Here is a 22,095-nt window from a genome sequence, read left to right as displayed (position 1 = left end):
ATTGGTGCATTTACAATCCTCCAGCTAGACGTAGTAAGTTCTCCAAGTACCCACCGGACTCAGGAGCCCAGCTGGCTTTGCCTAGTGCATCCCGGCCGCGGGCGGAGCTGCCCGCCAGTCTCTGGCGCGCTCCCGCACTCCTCAGCCGTTGGGCGGTTGACGGGACCGGGTGCCGCGTAGCAGGAGGTGGCGCCCGTCCCCTCGGGGTGGCGCGCGGGAGCCCGCGGTTGGGGGGCGGGGGGCAGGGGACGGGGGCGGGGGGCAGGGTGAGGGCTCCAGCATGGCAGGCTGCAGGTCCCGAGCCCTGCCCCCTTGCCCCGCGGGGAGGTGGCTGAGGCCCAGCGAAAATTCGAGCGCGGCGCCGGCGGGCCATCACTGTTGGAGGACCCAGTGCACCCTCCGCAGCTGTTGGCCCGGGTGCTAAGCCTCTCACTGCCCAGGGCCGGCGGCGCCAGCCGACCGCTCAGAATGCGGGGCGCGCCGAGCCCGCGCCCACCCGGAAGTCGCGCTGGACCTGCGAGCACCGCAGGCAGCCCAGGTTCCGGCCCGCGCCTCTCCCTCCACACCTCCCCGCCAGCAGAGGGAGCCCGCTCAGGCCTCAGCCAGCACAGGGAGGGGCTCCCACGGTGCAGCTGCGGGCTGAAGGGCTCCTCAAGCGCGGCCAGAGTGGGCTGAGGCCGAGGAGGCGCGGAGAGCCAGCGAGGGATGCCAGCAAGCTGTCACCTCTCAGAAATACAGGAAGAACATCAATAATGTTCGAAGTTATAAAGTAGGTTTCTATCAAGAATAAAACATAAACGATCAAAGAATTCCTTATAAAAACATTTTTTATTTCTAGGAATCAAAACATAAATATAAAATTTGAGAGTCCACCAAAAAAAATTAGATGCCAGATTTCACTATAATTATCAGGGAAGCGCCCAAACGGGTTGTTTACGGCGCCTCGGGGAAACTTTCTGTTTCGTGTTAAGGGTCTTGAACCATGATGTTTAGAAAACCATGGGCTGATGCTTTCAGAACCTCTGTGATTGTTGCCTCTGACACTGCATCCAATAGACTAGCATGTTGATTAGGGAAAGCTAAATTCAATAAAATACGACTGTTAAGTGGGGTCACCACCTTGAGGGGTTATGTTAGAAAAGTAGATGATAAGGTGGTATTGATAGAGTATTGAAGTCTGGGCTCAAATGGTTGCCCGGGGCCTTTCAAGACCAATGACTGATAAGAATAGGTAATGTTCAGGACATAGAGTTTAGGATTGGGGGACACTGTGAGTTAAGGGCCATGACAGAAGTCTTCATAAGTAAACTGTTATTGACACAAGCTGCTACCTGCCCAGGTGAGCAATCTGTTGGCCCAGAGGAGAGTTGCTTACTGACATAAATTGATTTGCAGAAATTTCCTGAAGCAAACAATAAGTTATTTATTGGTTTGCAGCCTTACTTTCCTGAAAAATAATTTTCTGGAATGAATTGTGAAATCGTGTTGACACAGATGGCCTCAGGTTTCAGTTCGGATAATTAAGCTGTGTAAATATAGAAAGTCTAAGGTTTCTGTGTGCTGTTGAGTCACAGTATGCAACAATGATCATATTACTTTTATTTACTATGAGCTTCAGCTGAAAGTCCAAAAGAAACTTTAATTTCAGATATTTAATGAAATCATTATAGCTGTGGTAATTTCCTTTAGCTGGGTGTGAGTGTGTGATGTGAGCGTGTGATGCGTGTGTGTGTGTGTGTGTGTACTCTGGCAGCATATTCCAAATAATTTCTGTAAAATTTCAGTTTGAAATTAATAGAAGACATATTAAATTGTTTAAACTCTTTGTTATTTAAATTCTATATTACTTTAGTTGATTACTCTGTATTATTACGGCAAAGCTTTGATATGTTGCCCTGAATTTAAATGAAAAGGCTGTTCGGCATAAAAACAGGAATATTTTATTACCAAAAAGAATTAACTACCATATGTCATTTACAGAAAAGAGTAAATTCTTCAGGGCATAGAAAATACACATTTCCTTCTGTTTGTGTGGAAATAAGCAAAATACCTGTTATAATAGATTCCTCACAGAATTTTGTAAAGCTTCAGGTAAACTTGAAAGAGAAAAATTAAAATGCTAGAGTTTCATAATTACAAATTGGGATATAAAAATAGAATAATTATTTGAATTTTGTATTTCTCTCCAGGGGATCAAAAGTAATATATAAACTTTTAATAAATATTGATATAGCTTCACGTTGACTCCATATGTGAGCAATTTGCTTTCTGTTAAATTCACAATTGCATAATTTTTTTCAGGCTGGAATGCACTTGGATACCAGAGATTTTGATTTCTTAATGTGAAATAAGGTGATAATACATTCCAAAGTATATATTTTTTCAACTTTGAATATATCTGGTGTATTTGGAGTAATATCTGAGTAAATACACTTATATGTAAGAGAATCAAAGGAATAAGATATTATTTTATATCCAAGGAAATTAAAACACTTAGAACATAAATACGTATTGCATTACTTCATATTAAAGAAATGTTTTACAAAAGAAAATAAAGGAGCTTATTTTATAGCCCCATTTCCACAAATAATAGCAAAGGTACATACACATATCTAATGTTTTACACACTCATTATTGTTTCTCTTAAAATTTGTTGCTTATACTATTTTAAAAAGCAAGCCTATAGATTGTTGTGTGTATATACATATACACACAACATATATATATGAGTATATATATATATATATATATATATATATATATATATATATAGCAGCAAGCAAGAGAATGAGCCTCTTCCTACTGAGGTTTAACATTTGCATGTATACGTATATTTTGATTCACATAGACTTATTGTTCTTTAATTATATGAACAGTGATTCCTGGTTACATTATTGGAAAATGGAAGCAATGCTCAAAGAGCATCACCTAAATTTCCATCATATTTTGCTCTCAATATATTTTGTACATCCAAATATATTGTGATTAATCTGCATACATTTTTGCTGTTCTAGGTGATGCTGATATGAGGCTAGGTAATACACGACCTTAGTCTGCATGTTGTACTTGTGTAACACACATAATTTTACAGTGCTAACAGGTGCTATAATAACTAACTATAGTTAATGATGAATGAAAGAAGGAAGATGTTAAGATGTTAGGGAAGGACTCAAAAGATGCAGTGCTTGAGTTAGAATTTTAAGGGAGATTATGCAAAAGCAGTCACTTAAGGTGGGTTGGGGTAATCTAGAATGTGGGAATGAGGTATGCAAAGTCACACAGGAGAGATACAGCATGCATGTTTAGAAAATTGTTAATTACATATGGAAAGTTTGCAGGACTTGCATCCTAGAATGTCAGGATTTTAAGCTAAGTAGGGTTCAAATTAAATTTTTCACATACTTCGCTGCATTATAATAACTAGTTTATGTTTAACTCATCCACTAAACTAAGTTATTTGAAAAGAGATGCCAGTGTTCACTCAATCTAGTTGTCTGTCATTAATAATTTAAAAATAGGCCGGGCGCGGTGGCTCACGCCTGTAATCCCAGCACTTTGGGAGGCCGAGGCGGGCGGATCACGAGGTCAGGAGATCGAGACCATCCCGGCTAAAACGGTGAAACCCCGTCTCTACTAAAAATACAAAAAATTAGCCGGGCGTAGTGGCGGGCGCCTGTAGTCCCAGCTACTTGGGAGGCTGAGGCAGGAGAATGGCGTGAACCCGGGAGGCGGAGCTTGCAGTGAGCCGAGATCCCGCCACTGCACTCCAGCCTGGGCGACAGAGCGAGACTCCGTCTCAAAAAAAAAAAAAATAATAATAATTTAAAAATAATTGAGATTTTAATTTTGGTCTGCTAAGCCTGTTTAATTAAAATTTGACATTAAATAAGATTTTACAGGCTTCTAATTTTTTTTTCAGTCATCACAGTTTGAATATTAAACATTACTACTTTTATCTCCCTCAGTCAGCATAAAACATACTACTTATGGTTTTAATAACCAAATTCAATGAGCACCAACAAAATTTGATGTAACTATTAACTTTGAAATTTTATTGAAATAGAACTATGCCTTGGGTATCATTCAAAGCATTTAATTGTTGCAATAAAAAACTTTGAGATAAATTGAAATGATGGACAATATGGGTCGAAAGCAACATTGGCTTGAGGGAAAAGGCTAATGTTTGAGAACGGAATTGTTAATGACAAGATTGGATGTTTATATTATTTTAGGAAAGATACACTCTAATGGAGTTTAATTCTAAAATGTTTAATATTATGAAAATATTATATATTATATGATCATTATAGAAAATTAAAAATATAAGAACATCAGAAGCAAAATAGTCAAAGTCTACCTAAACCCAATTAGAAGTGAATACTATTAATCTTGATTTGCATGTTTCTAATCTTATTATTATCAAATTAATAAACAGCTTTCAGATATTCTGCTTCCCCCTGTTACTAGATCAGGATAATGTCATTTAAGTACAGGCATCTCCTGCTTACTCAGTTCAGCATTGATCAATAAATATTTTAGACTTCCATTCAAAACACTTCCATTTTTCTTTTGCCCATATTCTTTTTATTCAGTGCTACCTATTTTCAAATACACAACACTTTGTCAAACAAATTCCAACATTAGATTGGATATAGTTGGTATCAAAGTAGTAATACACATTGCCATTCCTAATCCTCAATGCATTGATCCTGAAAATTATTTGTAAGAATAGAAAAATACTGGATATTTCAAAATAAGTCTCATTTTGTTGCTTACACATGAAAGACTGGAATTAACCGACATAACCATTACAAGGTGATTGAGCAAATGAACAGATGGAAAATATTATAGAAACTTTACTGCAGTTCATCAACCATTGTGGTCATTAGGCCATAGGAAAATACAGTGTGATAGTACCCCTGTCTTCTTTTCCATTTGTTAAGTCTCATATCCAAGTAACAGTGGATAGACCTTATGAGAATACAAAGTGAGATAAAAATAATTTTTGGCTTTTCAATGTATCTTATTTGATCTAAGAGGTATTTCCCCGACTTTGATGCAATAATTATTGTCACAAAATTTGACTTTATTAAAGACCATTTTAAGGATCTTTGCAGCTGACAGCAGTGACTTTTTTACCTCCTACAAAGTTTCAACTGACAGTCTTATTGTCTCTGACTTTCCCAAATTAATGACATAATTAGTCACCAGGGCTTTGGCTGCTCAATAGGGATTTAGTAAGCAACGAGTCATATGTTGGGGAACACTTCAACAAACAAAATATTGGCAGAGAAAGATGTATGAATCAGCTAGGAAGAAACACTATTCTATCATTGAGGATCTTTCTAATATTAGATATCACAGAAAAATTTTCATATAGATTACCATATGAATGAGCCAAAATCTCTAGGAACAAAAAAGCTGAGTATAATTATAACTCCTTGCCATGATTTAACTTAAAATTTCTTTACTTATTTAGCAATTCTATAAACAAGAATCATTTCTGTTAAGGATACTAAGGAGAGTGTTCCTATTGAATCAGAACATTTAAAAGAAATAATTGAGGAACTCACCATGTAAAACGTCATTAACCAAACTAAAATAAAATGTGAGGGCATAAACTTAACCAGAAATGTTTAAAACCTATATATAAAAAAACTAGAAAACACTTCTGAATGGCACACATTTGGACTTGAGCACGGGGAAAGAAATTCCATGCTCTTGAAAAAGCCTTAAAATCATAAATGTGCCAGTTCTTTAAATAAACTTATATCTTCTATGTCATAACAAAACAATATTTTCTAGAATTTCTTTTTCCAGATTCAGAAAAATAGACAAATTTACTTGGAGGAATAAAGAAGCAAGAATAGCTAGAAATATCCTATAAAATCAATGGAATTTGGAGTCAATACAAAATATTAAGCAATTCTTAAAGCTTCTATGATTAAAATGAGTTATAAATACAGATAGATGAAGATCATATAGAAAATCAAGACATTGACAGATATGGAAAGGTGGTATATAATGAAAACATTTCAGATCAATGAGGGGGAAATGTTAACTGGAAAAGAATATTAAAAAGGCAATGAACTCAATAAGACAACAAGAAGCAAACCACAGAAAAATAACTGGACAGGATTAAAAAGAAAATATTTTAGACACTTCAAAAATAAAATATTCAAATAACCAATGAACTTATTAAAAGGTTTTTATTTATATTGGTTATCTGAAAAAATAATTCAAACCACAATGAGATGTAAGTACTTGTCATTCAGAATCCTGAATTTGAAAGGAATATTTTAGAATTCTAAGTTGAAGAGAAAATGCAAAGTATTGATGAGAATGTTGACTAATTAGAACACTCAAATTGATGTTATTGGCATAACTTAGTTCAAATAATTTGGATAAAGATATGTATTAGGCCCCAAAATTCTGTTTGTAAAGATGTTTCTCCAGAAATGCATGCATATATATAGCTAAAAAAAAATGTGTACTCATGAAAACACTTTTCAGAATAACACCAAAATAACCCCAAACTGTGGGCCAAAAGTAGACTAAAATACTTATAAAGAGTACAGTAAACAAATAAGTTGTAATATGATCACCTAATAAAATATTAGAGGAATAAATGTAAATAGTTTCATTTGCAGGTCATATAATCAATTAGTCTCACAAATAAAATATTAAGCAAAAAAATGTGGTTCAAAACACTACTCACACTATTTGATTCCTTACTGGTAAAAGTTAGAATAGTGTTATGTTAGGAGGGATGGGTGGAAATCAGGTGTGTGACTATTACATTTTCTTATTCTGGATGATCATAGTATTTTAAAACTCACTAAGCTTTAAACTTATGTGCATTTACCCATGTGTATACAATACTTTAATAGAAGCTTCAAATCAATGAGAAAATATAAAACTGTCTGATGGAAAAATAGCTTGAGGAAATGAACAGGTATAGCAGAAAAGAAGGGCTGCATATAGTTTAAAAACTTGAAGAGATGTTTAATCTCTTTGCAAATAGAAAAACATACGCATTTAAATTGAAATACCATTTTCATTTTCCAAAGTTAAAATTATTGGAAATATGATGGTATACAGTGATGGTAATATGGGAGAAAGGAAACATCCTAGGCAATTTGGCTAAGCTTTTCTGAGAAAGATTTAGGCAATATGCCATTAAGATTTAATGTCAACAAATGGGAAATTTGCCCACATAAATAAATGGAAAGATACTCTATTTTTCAAAATTTAATCTGAAAATACCTAAGCCCCTGATATTTTTCTAAAAACTGGAATGTCCCTTTGGTCATTGGGTTTTAGAGACATAATTTTCACTGTGATGTTCATAATTTTAAAAGGTTGCATCATCCATTTTTAGTTAACATATATTGTACTAACATCACATATCTATGTAATAGAAAAATAGAGTCAATTCATGTAGGGACAGACATGAAAATGACAAATACATATAGAGATAGAAAGGTATCTTGTGCATTATACTGAGAAAGACAATAGAAATAAACAATTTACATGGGTTGATTTAATTAAGATATATAAGTGGTTAGATAAATGTTAAATAGGTCAGTATGTAATTACAGAAAATGACAAATTGTTATGTATGGTACATTTGCAGGCATAACACAGACATTACATTTTGGAAAATTGTGTTCTATGCAACAGTGCCAAGTCTAATGAAAGTAAGAGGAAGAGGAATTCAGCCAAAGTACCAACCCCTGTTATCCATTCCTTAAGAAAGGAACTTCTTTATACACTCAAAAGAGGGGATTCTTTTTAAATTTGTTTCCAGAGGGGCATCTGCATACACATACACATGCACACACACACACATTTACATTATATTTAAATGTGTGTGCATGATATATACATGTATTTATTTATTTAATATATATGTGTTATCCAGGTCCTATATAGGAACACACACACACACACATTTTGAATCAAACACTCTTTCGTATAATTTTGGTGACAAATGTATGCAATAAATGAGAATACTTTAACTTTCCAAAAAGCTATTCAAAAGTATAATTTTCAAATAAAATATATGTTTGTATGACAACAAATGATTTTTTATAAATAATATATTCTGCATTATCAATCTGCCACTGGTTTTTATTAAATAAAAAAACCCATAAGTTTGTATGCTCCTAAAATACATATAACATTTGTAAGAATAGTTTTTATGTAAAAATGATTATAGTTCACTATAACTATGTTAAAAATAGACATAGCCAGGCAAGTCGCTCATGCCTGTAACCCAGCACTTTGGTAGGCTGAGGCGGGCAGATCACTTGAGGCCAGGAGTTCAAGACCAGTCTGGCCAACATAGCGAAACCCCATCTCTAATAAAAATACAAAAATTAGCCGGGCATGGTGGCCCATACCTTGTAATCCCAGCTACTCAGGAAGCTGTGGCAGGAAGATTGCTGGAACCCGGGAGGCGGAGTCTGCAGTGAGACAAGATCATGCCACTGCACTCCAACCTGGGTAACAGAGTGAGACTCTGTCTCAAAAAAAAAAAAGAAAGAAAAGAAAAAAATAGACACAGATGAAGGGTGTCTTTGATTATGCAAATAGATTACCCATCTTGTACTCACTGTGTTTATTTCAATAAATGATCCACAGAATATGCTACTTTTGATTTATAGTTTTCTTCTCCTTCACCACTGTGGACTGGGAAAATATTTCTTATTATTTCTGCTGCAGAGTAGCAAAAAATTATGAGCCAGAAGGAAGACCACTACAACAAGCAAAATCTCTGAGTAATCATAAAATGAAGAACTATTTCCTGTTGGGATTCATTGTGACGAATTTGATTTTAAACTCTTGGTGTTGGCATTTTATTTTTAAAATTTAGCTTTCTTGCCTATTCTGAAATTGTCAAAAATTCAGAAAAGCAATCATGATCATTTGCTTGCTGATCAATGGAGACCTAATGATTTTTTAGGCTGTGAGTCTACAGTAATAAATGAATAAATAAAAAAGTTGATACTTCCTTCTATCGAGGGAAATTGAGCATTTTTCTCATAGTCCTAAATCACCAGATCAAGGGATATATGTAATGCTTGAGTGTTGACATTTTATTAATTTTTATATTTAACTAGAGCTGTAAAGTTGAAACAAATGGGTCAATGCAATAGCCCATAAAATATTTTAAAAACACAAAAAAGAAATATCACTAAAATTTAAACATAAAAAAAATACAAAAAAACCCTGAGCTATAGGAAGGGAAGTATCCTCTAAATGCCCAAGTTGAAGGTAGTCCTCTTAGAAAGGCAGAGTAAGAAGCAGTGTTTGATGGGAACGTGATTTTTCAAGTATTTTGAATTTTCAAACTCACCACATTAACTGAGTAAAATGAAAAAAATATATAAACTTCCTCTGAGGCAGAAAAAACATTTGGCATTTTCAAGATAGAATTATAATAAAAATATCTCGCCCCAATAGAATACAAAGAAGCATCCTTAAGCAAATAGAAGGCATCTATGGAAATATCACACTGAAGTTTGAACTAATAAATTATTCATTTAAGATCCAGAAGAAGACAAAGTGTCCTCTTTCACTATTGTTCTCTCTACTGTATGGGAGGAATTAACCAGTGAGACAAATCAAATAAATAAGTAAAACATACACAGTTAAGAAATGAAAAATACAATTCTAAATTTTTAAACAACTCCATTACCTATACATAAACTTCTAGTGACTGTAAAAATCAGCTGCTGGAATAAACTAGTAATTTTAGCCACATCATAGAAAAAATAAGTCAACCCATTAACTTATTTCTATATATTTCCAATGAGCAATTAATGATAAAAATCAAATCCATGTAAAATACTAATAAAAATAAAATATGTATATATGATTTTAACAAATTACATGCAAGATCTCTCTAAATAGGAAACTAGCAAAAGTGTTGGGAGATGTAGGAAAGTTCTAAATAAATGGAGTCACATACAATAATTGATGGTTTTGATGTGTGTCCCTGCCCAAATCTGATATGATGTAATCTCCAATGTTAGAGGTGAGGCCTGGTGGGAGGTGATTGGATCATGGGGTGGATTTCTCATGAGTGGTTCAGCATCATCCCTCTTGATATTGTTCTCATAATAGTGAGTGAGTGAGTTCTCATGAGATCTGGTCATTTAAAAGTGTGTAGCACCTTCCCCTTTCACTCTCTTGCTGTTCTGGCCATGTGGCGTGCCTGTCCCCCTTTGCTTTCTGCCATGATTGTACATTTCCTGAGTCTTCCCAGAAGCTAAGTAGATGCCAGCATCATCCTTCCTGTATAGCCTGCAGAACAGTGGGGCAATTAAACCTCTTTTCTTCATAAATTGTTGAGTCTTCTGTATTTCTCTATAGCAATGCCAGAACAAACTAATACAATAATCATGGCTTGAAAGTTCAGTGAATTTTAGTGTGTAAAAGGTTTTGGTTTTTCCAAATTAATCATTCTAGAAATCCTCACCATAATCACAAAAGATATTTTTATATAAATTGACACACTGATTTAAAAATGTACATCAAGAGAGCAAAAACAAATGATAAAAAGCTGAAAAAAAAGTTGGAATACTCACACTTCCTAACACCATGCAATAACTTAAAGCTATAGTCATCAAGAGAATGTGTTATTAGTATATGGATAAACAATTAGAGTAATGGAATGGAATAGAGTTCACAAATAGATCCATGCTTATATGAATAATATAATATCAAAGATACTGCAGTTATTCAAAGGGGAAAGATAATTTTATTTAACAAAGTGTGCAGAACTATGAGATAAATGTGAAGAAAACAAACCTCAAGTCCTTCCTCACAACAAAAGCATGAATGAGTTCAAAATTAAATGAGTCCAAAATATATTATGGAACAATATGTAAAAGTGAAAGCATAGGCTTCAAATATAAAGCACAGAAAATGTCTTAGTAAACTACATGAAAGCATTTCTTTTTATCCAAACTGTGGAGAAATTTGTTTTTATTCAGAAAGCAATAATTATATAATGATAAACTACAGAAATGTATAAATATATTTATATTTTAATGTTTATTTTTAATTACACAATTATATATACTATTTATTATGAATAAGAGCAAGAATGTATAAATATAATGTACAACATGGAAACAAGAGAACTATAAAAACTAACAGATGCTACACAAAAATGATATAATAGCAAATAAGCAAATGAAAAATTTCTTAATATCATTAGTAATAAAAAATAAAATGAGATAATTATACACATCTACTAGAAAAGCTACTATTTTAAAAATTGTGTTACCAATATTTGGCATAGATGTCAAGAAACCACAATCTAGAGTTTGCATACATTGACGGTGGGAGTGTAACACAGTATAGCTACTTTGGATAACTAAATCTACCTTACATGTACCAATTCTACCCCTAGGCATTTATCCTAGGGGGGAGAAAAGCATAAGTCTATAAAAAGGCTTGCACAAGTACCTTTATTCGTTATTGTCAAAAACAGACACCATGCAACTGTCCACCAAGAGCGGCGTTCTCAAGTTCAGCACTATTAGCTGTTGAAGTGGCTTAATTCTTTGTTGTGCGGAGCTATCCTTTGTGGAACCCTGGCCTGTGCACACTCCATCCCCTCCTCCACAAACCTCTGATAACCAAAAGTGTCCCCAAACATTGGAAATGTCCCCTGGCAGGTAAAATGTCCCTCATTTGAGACCCTCTGGTCAAGAGTTTAGTAAATAAATTATAGTGGTATGTCTATGAAATGAAATAATATGTAACAAAAAAAAAGTGCTACTTAAACATGCAAGAAATTGTTGAATCTCAAAAATATTATGCTTAAGGAAAAAAGACAAAAATAATTCATACTCTATAATTCTACTGATACATAATTGTAGAAAATAAAAGCTAATATATGGTAATAAAACCAGATTAGTACTGGATTGACAATGTGTTGAAAGTCAAAAGAAGAGGCTTGAGATCTCTCTATAGTGTGATAGTTTTACAAGTATATACATATGTTAATGTTTAAAAATTTCACACCTCAAAAAAGTGCAGTATACCAGATGTTAATTATATCTCATAAAGCTATTAAAATTTTATCTCAAAATTATAGCTTTATTGCATTTAAGGCATTAGCCAATTTTGAATCTAATCCAGTTATCATAGCTTAATGCAGTATTATGAAAATAATGCCTATAAAGGTCCAGTTCCTCAAACACCCTTGGAGCCAGTTTTGTCATCTATATTAGTTACCTTGGGCTGCTATAATAAAGTACCACAAGCTGTGTGTCTTTAAGCAACAGAAATTTCTTCTCTCACAGTTGCGGAGGTCAGAAGTCAGAAAACAAGGTGTCTGCAGGACCAACCTCTCCTCTGGATGCTCTAGGTGAGAATCTTTTCCATGCCTTTCTCTTAGCTTCTGATGTTGCCATCAGAACTTCAGATGGTGTTCCTTGGCTTCTGTTAATATTAATACATAAATCCTTTTCAGTCTCAGCTTCTGTCTTCACATGGTCCTCTCCATATCCTATCTGTTTCTGTTCCCTCTTCTTATAAAGATAACCCATGTTGTTTTAAGTCCCACCTAAAGACCTAATTTTAGCTTGATTACATCTGCAAAAACTTTGTGTCCAAATAAGGTTTCATTTACCTTGTGTGTATAACTAGGGGTTAGGGCTTGAACATACGGGTTTGGGGAGGGGAACACAATTCAGACCATGACACTCATTGTTTCACTCATTAATGAGTTAAGGGTGCTTTGATATTATTACATTTGAATGAGAGTGGTTTTTAAAATTACATTTTGTCGCGTAGTTTGTTCCACCCTGATGCTTAAAGGGAGTCACCTGCCTCAGCCAATTAAACTGTGTTGTCTCTGCAGTGCGTTTTATCACAAGAACATGACCTTTAAGCACAAGAACACCTTGTATTCCACCACTAAAAACAGAAATGACATCTACCTTCACTGCTTCCCTATTTCTCTCCATCTTTACTGACTTGGTATTTTGTTGTTGCTGTCATTTCTGGTTGTTGGTCAATTTTCATTTCTATTCTTATTTTGCTGATAATTCTTATAAATCAGTGCTGAATTTTGTCAAATTATTTTTCTGCATCTCTACAGATGATCATTTTATGTTTTTGTCTCTGTGATAATTTGGTGAATGTCATTGATCAATTTTTAAATAATGAATATCTTTGCATTTAAGATAATATTTTTCACTATTAATGTTATCTCTGAAATGAAAGCTAAACCTAGTCAATAGATATTAGAGGTGCATGATTTTTAAAATTGTATAAAATTAGATAAAAAATACAAAGAAATATATATAATTTTAAAACCATGTAAAAATGTAAATGCCAAATGATAGAGCATTAAATGAAGCTTGTAATATTAAATACAATCTTTAGAAACTCTTTTGCAGTGCAGGAAAAAAATAGAACTGAAAACAAACCAGAAGAAATCACAGATATAAAATTAAAGAGGATAGAATTAAGCACCTGAGTTCCCACATCTAAAGTGAAAATCTAAGAATTTAAATATCATTCAAATACAGACTAAAATACAATATAAAATAAAATTTCCTGAGCTAATTTTTAAAATACTGCTTAATTTGTAGCTAAAAATGCAGACTAATTTTCTGACTATATTACTATAAAAACCTTCTACAAATATTTTTTAACTAAAATTATAAGAAAAACATCCACCATAAACACGTAAGATTAATATTTTCATTTCTGAAGTATAAAATGTCTGGATAGACTTGAGCTTGTTGCTTTAGTTTTATATGTGAAGACTGGAAAAATTCTGTTTTGTTTTGGAAAATATTTTGAGCTAGAAATGTTGTATTCCACATTTGTTAGGAATGGAAGTCTTTAAAATATGAAATATTTCCAACTGAAGAAAAATAGTGAAAATGAACTTTATCTGAATAAGATTAATGAAAATTATATGTTGAAAAAGTAAAATAGTTATGTGTACTAACAGTGACTACTAACCCAACAATATAAAATTAAGTAAAAATATTATTACCATGTTAAATACAAATTAAAATTAATTATAAGAAAGTTAAGATCTATGATTAAAGTATTAAAATAAAATGAGACTTCACAAATTTAAAAGCAAATTGGTGAATGACATATTTTTTGAAATAATAAATTCTTTGGCATATTTTATATTTTTTATTATAAATGAAAATTATTTATTTGAAATATTTAAAGGAACAAAATATTTGCAGCTCTATTTTATTGAGAAAGTAATTACAAAACAAAAACAAGGAGTTTTTGTAATTACAAAAGAATATATTAATAATATTATTTAGAAGCACAAAACCAGAAAAGCTTTATATTATTTCTAACAATAAGTGTAAACCATCTAATTTTCTGAAAAGGGGTGGAAATAAATATTTAACAAAGAAGATGTTATTCTTAAATTGTAATATGTACATTGCCTAAAAATAAAAAGGTAGTTGAAGATATATTGTGAACAACAAAAAATGAAGAGCTGATAATATTAATGTGCGAAGGAAACTCATAACATATTGTACTAATTATAAATCAGTGTATTGACAAAACCTAAGTCCTCAATTATTATTGACTGTTATTGACATATTAATGATAGAATATTAAATATAGAATATAATAAAGTGATTTAGAATAAAAAAGAGAAAGCGATAGACATGAATAGAAACAAAATGCAACTGTTCAATATTAAAAGCCTTTCTAAATTGCTTGTGTTTTTCTAGTGACCTGTTTCGCTATGCAGTGTAGGCTCAGGTGTCTAGATTTTAGTTGCAGATAAACACAGGTAGTATTTTCCAGATCTCAGAATGACCAGTTACATAAAAATAGGCCATAAACCATATATTTCATTCTTATGGTTGACAAACCTCTAATTCACCTGAAAATATTAAAAAGAAAGAAGACAGACGTGACAGTGGTTGGAAGTTGAGGATAAGAAGAAGTTGGCAGAAATAAGCTTTCTTCTTTTGGACAGCAATGCATGATAAAAAAATTAAACTAAATTCAGTTCATTTCCACTAACTGGGACTTATTTAGAAACTTTAAGGAAGTCTTTGAAGAATTTCAATTGAGGAGTAAATAAGGGCCAATTTATTTCATAGTATGGACTCTCAAGACAATATACAGCAGTGCTTCTCAAAGTTAAACAGTATATGAGTGACCTGGAAATGAAGATGCAGATTTAACAGGGCTGGAGAGAAGTCTGAGATTCTAAATTTCCAATGAATTAAATTACAAAGAGGAGAAAATAAGGTTATTGCTTACTTTATATACATTCACAAACACAGGATAATCAAATAATTGTTTAAAGTATTGCTCTGATAAGAATTAAATTACATATTTCATAGGAAACATTTTCTTTACATTCGGGTTTTATCTATTATTAGAATAATAATAGAATCTTGACTTTATGTAACTCTATATTCCAAACAACTAGAAACTTTTCGATAGCAATTGTTCACCATTTAATAACATTTTTCCAAGATATCTAATGCACTCAAGGACAAAATAGCTGCCTTCCAGTGATTTCCAATTTATTCAATTTTCAGGCAATCTGTCTGCCCACACAATGACAGATTGTAGTTACATTCTTGCCACGCTCCAAACAGCTAAGCCAATTGTTTTCAATCTTTTTTCTTCAGCAACTCCATCTCTTAAAGTACTTCAGAGTAGTTCATGAAAGGATTCCTCTTTAGTTAAATGGCTATACAGCTCTCCCATCATCCAAAATAATCAGTGGAGAGATAGCAATATTTTTCATTACATTAGGCCAAGTTCCATTGCTTCCTTCATGTTGTAATCTGATCAGAAACACCACTATAGATTCAATAATTGAGTTTAGAGTTTCAGAGAATTTGGGGTCACAGAACATCTATGTCTATTTTGTAAAGATTATTGCATATTACTGAAATAGCTTGTCAAACACTGCAGTCTGCTTAAAGTATCAAAATAGAAATGTTGAATGCTGTGTCTGCACAGAGTTCATTTAAGCAAAGAATCTACTAGGCTCTTAAGTCTGTTAATGCAAATTCCTGAATACAATTGACCCTCCATAACCCCATTGTGGGTGGATTTAACTAACATGAATCAAACATATTTGTTAAAAGAAATACCAAAAATAATTTTTAAAAAGAAATACAACAATAAAACAATGCAAATAAAAAACAATCCTTATAACAATTATGTGCATAGCATTTATATTGTATTCAGTATTATTAATGTAGGTAATCTGGAAATGATATAAAGTATACAAGAGGGTGTGTGTAAGTTATATGCAAATACTAGGCCATTTTATATAAGAAACTTGAGCATCTCTGGCTTTTGCTATGAAGGGATGATGGTGGTAGGATTGGTGGTGGTCCTGGAACAAATCCCCAGCAGGTACCAAGGGGGACTGTAGACCCCAAAGCTGTTAGGAATGGGTCACAGCAGCAGGATTGAGGTAGGAATGCTCCCCACAGAAAACATCAACCACCTGTTGATTTGTGAATCTGCTCTTCTCAGGCATGCCTTCAAATGCTATAACCTGGAGATTCAACTCATTTTCATGCTGCTAAGTAGGAATAGGTGATTCAATTCCCCAAGAAAGTGACAGAGGTCCCTGAAATATAGATTTAAAGTTACATAGTGTCAAATGCTAGTCATTTTCTCTTTGCTCGATGGTATCCTCTCAGAAAAACCTTTCATAATATTTCTAATTCATTTACCAGATTTATAGAATCATCAAATTATCTATCAATGTGTTTTTCAAATATTTTGTGAAGTGCCTAGGGTAACAACCTATTGTTCGAACATATTTTGTGAAGTGGCTAGGGTAACAACATAATGTTAGAACTTATGTTCGTATTTAAATACAAATGTATTTTGGTTGAGTGATTACTCAAGGTCACTGAGGAGTCCACAAGGTTAACGTCCTGACTCTAGAACCATTGTTATATAGAGATATATAAATAGCTGATTTAATATTATAGGCTTAGCAAAATATTTAATAAATAAGGTCTTAGTAAAACAACACACATGTATTTATCCACTTATTTAATTTTGTTTTTCCATTTCTTCTGAACATAAGTTCCTGAGGACACGGGCCTTTTTTCACAGTTCATTTTTGGATTCCAACATCTAGCCAGTACTTTGCAAAGAGCACTGAATTTGAAATAAATTTCTCAGTTAATGATTTGAATCATATAAAATATTTAGTAAATTTGAAAACTAGTAACCGTGTAAAGTGATTAAAACAAACATACTAGAGGGTAATAATCCCCCACCCCTTGCCTTCTTCCTTTACATCCACTTCATTCTTATTCTTGTCTACTTCCCCTGCTCCACCCAGGGAACGTGGTTAGCCCATCAACTGCAAAGATTGTTCTCATATAATATTGTTCTGATGGATAATGAGACTCTGAAAGTGGAACATAAACAGATAAAACAAAAACAAACAGAAAAAAACCCAAAAACCTAAACTCAACTTCAGTTAAAGCAGAAAATATCTGTCCAGCCTAAACCAGGCATACTCAACAGACTTCTTCTGTTAGAAGCCTGATCCTACTTCAGTCTGGAACTACCTAGTCTTCAGGTTTGCCTGGTGCTCACCAGCTGAAGAAATCCTTTAACGACCTTTATTCAGTCAAGTAAATTGTTTTATTTTGGCAACTTGCATGTTATTTTTTAGGTTTTCATTTATTTTTTTTTATATTTAAAGTCATATTTTCTTCCTTTTATTCACTTTGCTGGTCTTTCTCACTTTGATTTTTTTTTTTTGCCTTGTTTTGCATTTGTTTACTTTAACATTGTTTGTAACTTATCTCTTTTATTTTGGAAATTATTCACATTATCAGTTTTCTTTTGCTAGGCAATTTTGATATTCTAATAAACATTATTAACATAAAATATAAAGTTTATTAACACCAAGCCCAAACAATACCAAGTCTTAGGGCTCTTTAATTGCAATTATTTAAAAATATTTGCTACAAATTGTTCATTATTTTATATTTACATTGTTTTTCTTATTCCCACAAATCACATATTGTTGGTGTGTTTGTTAAATAAAATTGTGATTGCTTATATATATTTTTTCACATCCTTTCTTCTTCTAATATTTTGGAATTTACATCCAGTTAATTATCCTTTATTCTATGATATATACTGTAAAAGTTACTATTCTTGGTAGTAAACCCTCAGTTTTTGGGTTGTCTGAAGATGTCTCTATTTTGATCTGCTCTTGAATTCTAAATCTAATTGACATAAAATTCTAGATTTGCCATTATCATTTATTAGCCCTTCAAAGATATTCCACAATTTTCTGACTTTCAATATTTTTGTTGGTAAAAATGGTGATTGTTAATTGGCTTGCATATTCTGTTTTGGATATTCCGTTGTTTCCTTATAATTTGTTTATTTATAAGGAAACTTATAAACAAATTATAAGGAAACAATAGAATATCCAAAATAAAGAGAATAGTTATGGGTTCATATAGATAATTCTTCAGAATCTACTAATTTGTGTCTTTCTTCTTTACTTCTGTAAACTTTTCAGCTACTATATATTAGAATATTTCTTAACTTTTTTATATTCATTCTGAAATTTCTTACTGAAATTTGTTCAAAAGGTGAGTTAACGGAGCTATACATTTTTAGTGTCATGTGCTCTAAATTGCAAAATACATGTATTTTTATTTCAGACAACTTGAGTAACATTTGTGCAAATGTTTTATATACATGTACTTAATTTGGTAAATTTAGGCATGTGGTAGACAAATTTAAAAATGTATAAAAATCATGGGCAAGCATATGAACATTCTATTTTTGCTACTATAAAAAAATAGCAGACTATCCAACTATTTTATGATACTCAACGATACATCTTACTAAATGGTCATGACTCTTGCCTCTCAGGGTCAGAGTTTGCAATAGTGAAAGCAAGAGAAAGCCATGGAATAAAAACAGGGAGAGGGAAAATATTAAGCGCTGGAATATGTACATTGTTTTGCTTGTGTAAATTTAGAACATTCAACACATGTTTACAATGAATACATATAAAATACCAATGACATGAGGAGAATTAGAATAGAAATAAATACAAGGATTCTTTCATGATAACTACAAAATATCAGTGAAGGTTTGTACATAAAATTTAGGGATTTTATATTATTACCTAATACAATTCTGGCTATAACATCACTAAAGGATTGTAAACGTCTGCTGGGAAACCTATGGGAAAAAATGCAAGTGGAACTGGTGTCATACAAACACATTTTCTAATGGGAAGCTTAACTGGTGAAATGTAAGTTGGAAACATTACTAAATTTAGGTCTATGAAAATGTTTTCCCAAATACAATCTTTTCTTGTTGGATAGGAGGTTTTACTGTGATGTATTATTTCTGACAGCCTTTTTTTTTTAAAGCAAACGAGTAGAATTAAGTGAATTAATTATCATATCTAACCTGTAAGTACAAATTACTTTCCCTTGGAATTACATAATTGATAATTGTACATCCTTAGATGTGTTTGAATCTGAGATTTACTCTAAACTCAGAGAAAAAAAAAGTGAAATTTTGTTTCCATTGTGACACCTTTGTTTCCTTTTTAAGTTTTCAAAATTTCTTAAAAAATATTTTTCCCTTTCATAATTTATTCAACAAGTATCTATTGTTAGGTGTTGGGAACACAAGACCTGAAACTCCTGACAAATATATTCTATTTATGAGGTCAATTTGTACATTAATAAATGCATATGTAATACGAGACAAGATTGTAATGCTAACCAGTTTGACTTTGAGGCACAGTATTCAGAATGTAAATGCCCCTGGAAAAAACATTGAATATAAATGCCCCTGGAAAAAGAATGTAGTTGGAAAAAACATTCTGAGGTAAAATTATGCAATATTGGTGTGAATAATTATAGTGACCAGAGGTTCACACATTTTTGTGACGTGCCATTGGTAGAAAAAGAGCCATAGCTGAAAAAATATGGCAGTCATAAGATGTCAGTGGAAATGAAGACAAGGATACCTTTTGGTCAATTTTCTTGAAAATATTGGCTTTTTCAACAGTGTAGTTTATTTAAAATTTAGTCCCAGTTCTTAGCAATTATTTATATACTGATGGACTTATATCCAGGGTCTTCTTGAATTAAAAAAAGTCAAAAAATAATTTTATAAATTTAAAATATTTTAAAATTATGATATATACAATTCTTACTCTCTCTGTCATATTTTTCCAATGTTTTGTCTGTCTTGTTTTTTCTTGCCTTTTCTTCCCTGTCCTTTCCCTTTCTTTTCTTTTATTTTTGTTTTCTTTGTCTGGCCTTGCTTTGAGTTTCTTTTCCAAACGAATTCACTGGAGGTGATATTTGTATGCATAATATACACAGCAAATTTCTAGGGCCTCTCATTTTTACAAATCTTTGTAAGAAAAGGCTATCTATTAACCCAATGACATTGTCATAACCTTTTCTAAATTTCAATGATATTCAGTTTCTCACAGCTATTACATTACAAAGTATACCTCAGTAAAACTCTAGTAAGTCACAGGGCTGATGTTGCTGATTGCTCACTTGCTCAAGCCAGAAGCTTAGAATACATGCTTGATTCTTCACTTTCCTGTGGGTTTATGCCAAATCAATTTCAAATCTGTAGATCTTATCCTCTAAATAACATACATCATGCCTACTTTTTTCTCTCTCTCTACTACTGTCACATTAATTCAAAAGAAAAAGACTGATGATTCCTAACTTCCTGGCTTCAGTAATTGGCAACGATGACATCACTACTGGAATGAGAAAACTTGGGGATAGTAACTGATATCTGAGGAAAATCAATCTCCAAAAATATTCTCACTGCTTCCACTTCCTGCATCCCTTATTCACTTTTATTTTTTCCCAGCAGATTCTACTGTGGTGGAAATTTGGCCATATTTCTTCTTCTTTTAAAATTATTCAATGGATCTCCATGTCACACAGAATACAATCAAAGTCTTTATCTCAACCTATAAGGCCATGTATAATTTGTCTATTTTTATCTCTTAACATGTATGTGAAAACATTATGCTCTTTATTTTTAAATTTGTTTTAAAAAATACATATCATCTGATTTTGTTACTATCATCTGATTTTCTCAAATCACTAGCTCATTATGGCAAGCAAAACTGCTCTTAATTCCTCAAAATGTTCCTGGCTTACACTGTTTCAGGAATGGTGCATATGCTTTCAAAGTCTTTTCTCCATCTTCTCTTTAGTAACCTCTTCTTATAATTCAAGGTTCTGTTTAAATGGCACTCCCTCACAGAAGTCTTCCCTATTCTACGTGGATCTTCACTACTTATTTTCTGAGGCCCTGTCTGCAATATGACTAAATTAACAAAAGAAGGAAGGAAAGAAGGAAGCAAAGAGGGAAGGAAGGAAGCAAGGAGGAAAGAAGGAAGGGGAGAAGGAAGGAAGGAAGAAAGGAAAGAAGGAAGGAAAGAAAAAAGGGAGGGAGGGAATGAGGGAGAGAGGGAGGAATGGTAAACAGATTTGACTCAATTTAATACCTGAACTTTAGAATATGACTATATAATATACATATTAATATTACATATGAATATTACATTCATATATTATATATTCACATTGTACAAAAATTTAGACATTGTATATTATATATATAATATGTGTGTATGTACACTGCAGCATTATTGTATCTAGAAAAGAGAATTTGTAATATGTGAGGTTGCTAAGATCTCATATAAATATGTAATCCATTAAATACCAAAATATTTTATTTCGAAGAATTTTAAAATAATGTCCTGTACTAAGATCACAGAACAACTTAGCAGGAATCTTTATTGATTTTCCTTATTTTTATTGTGAAGATTTTTCAGACATAATGAAAATTTAAAAGAATATTTCACACAAGATTAATATAATATCCACCTATATTTAGTAATTGCTAACATATTACCATATATTATTAATTTCACTAAATATCTCTTTAGATAGGTAGAACCATGGAGATCTGAATATTTTGGCCCAAAACATTTCAGCATGAAATTCCAATAAATTAGGGCATTCTCCCACAGTGCCGATGGGTAAGATTTAT

At 32.7% G+C, this 22,095-nt stretch overlaps 1 long non-coding RNA gene across 1 annotated transcript in view, besides 1 other annotated feature; it reads left to right on the top strand.

Annotated features, from left to right (window-relative positions):
- Positions 1-277: 277 nt before the first annotated feature.
- The window catches only part of LOC124900950 (uncharacterized), a 153,441-nt gene continuing 131,623 nt past the window's right edge, over positions 278-22,095 (top strand). The window contains exons 1-2 of the long non-coding RNA XR_007058710.1: positions 278-769; positions 12,324-12,388. This is a non-coding gene — a long non-coding RNA (uncharacterized LOC124900950). The remainder of the gene's footprint in view (positions 770-12,323; positions 12,389-22,095) is intronic.
- Positions 16,211-16,784: an enhancer, noted in NCBI's record as "OCT4-NANOG hESC enhancer chr5:21325279-21325852 (GRCh37/hg19 assembly coordinates)". NCBI's record gives its function as "activates a minimal SCP1, AML or CMV promoter by ChIP-STARR-seq in primed H9 embryonic stem cells {active_cell/tissue: H9 hESC(primed)}" and the evidence as "EXISTENCE:reporter gene assay evidence [ECO:0000049][PMID:30033119]".

The sequence above is a fragment of the Homo sapiens genome, chromosome 5 (genome assembly GCF_000001405.40).
Source record: "Homo sapiens chromosome 5, GRCh38.p14 Primary Assembly".
NCBI classification, from domain to species: domain Eukaryota; kingdom Metazoa; phylum Chordata; class Mammalia; order Primates; family Hominidae; genus Homo; species Homo sapiens.
The sequence above is the reverse complement of the archived record's forward strand: the minus strand, read 5'-3'. Positions and strand labels throughout refer to the sequence as shown.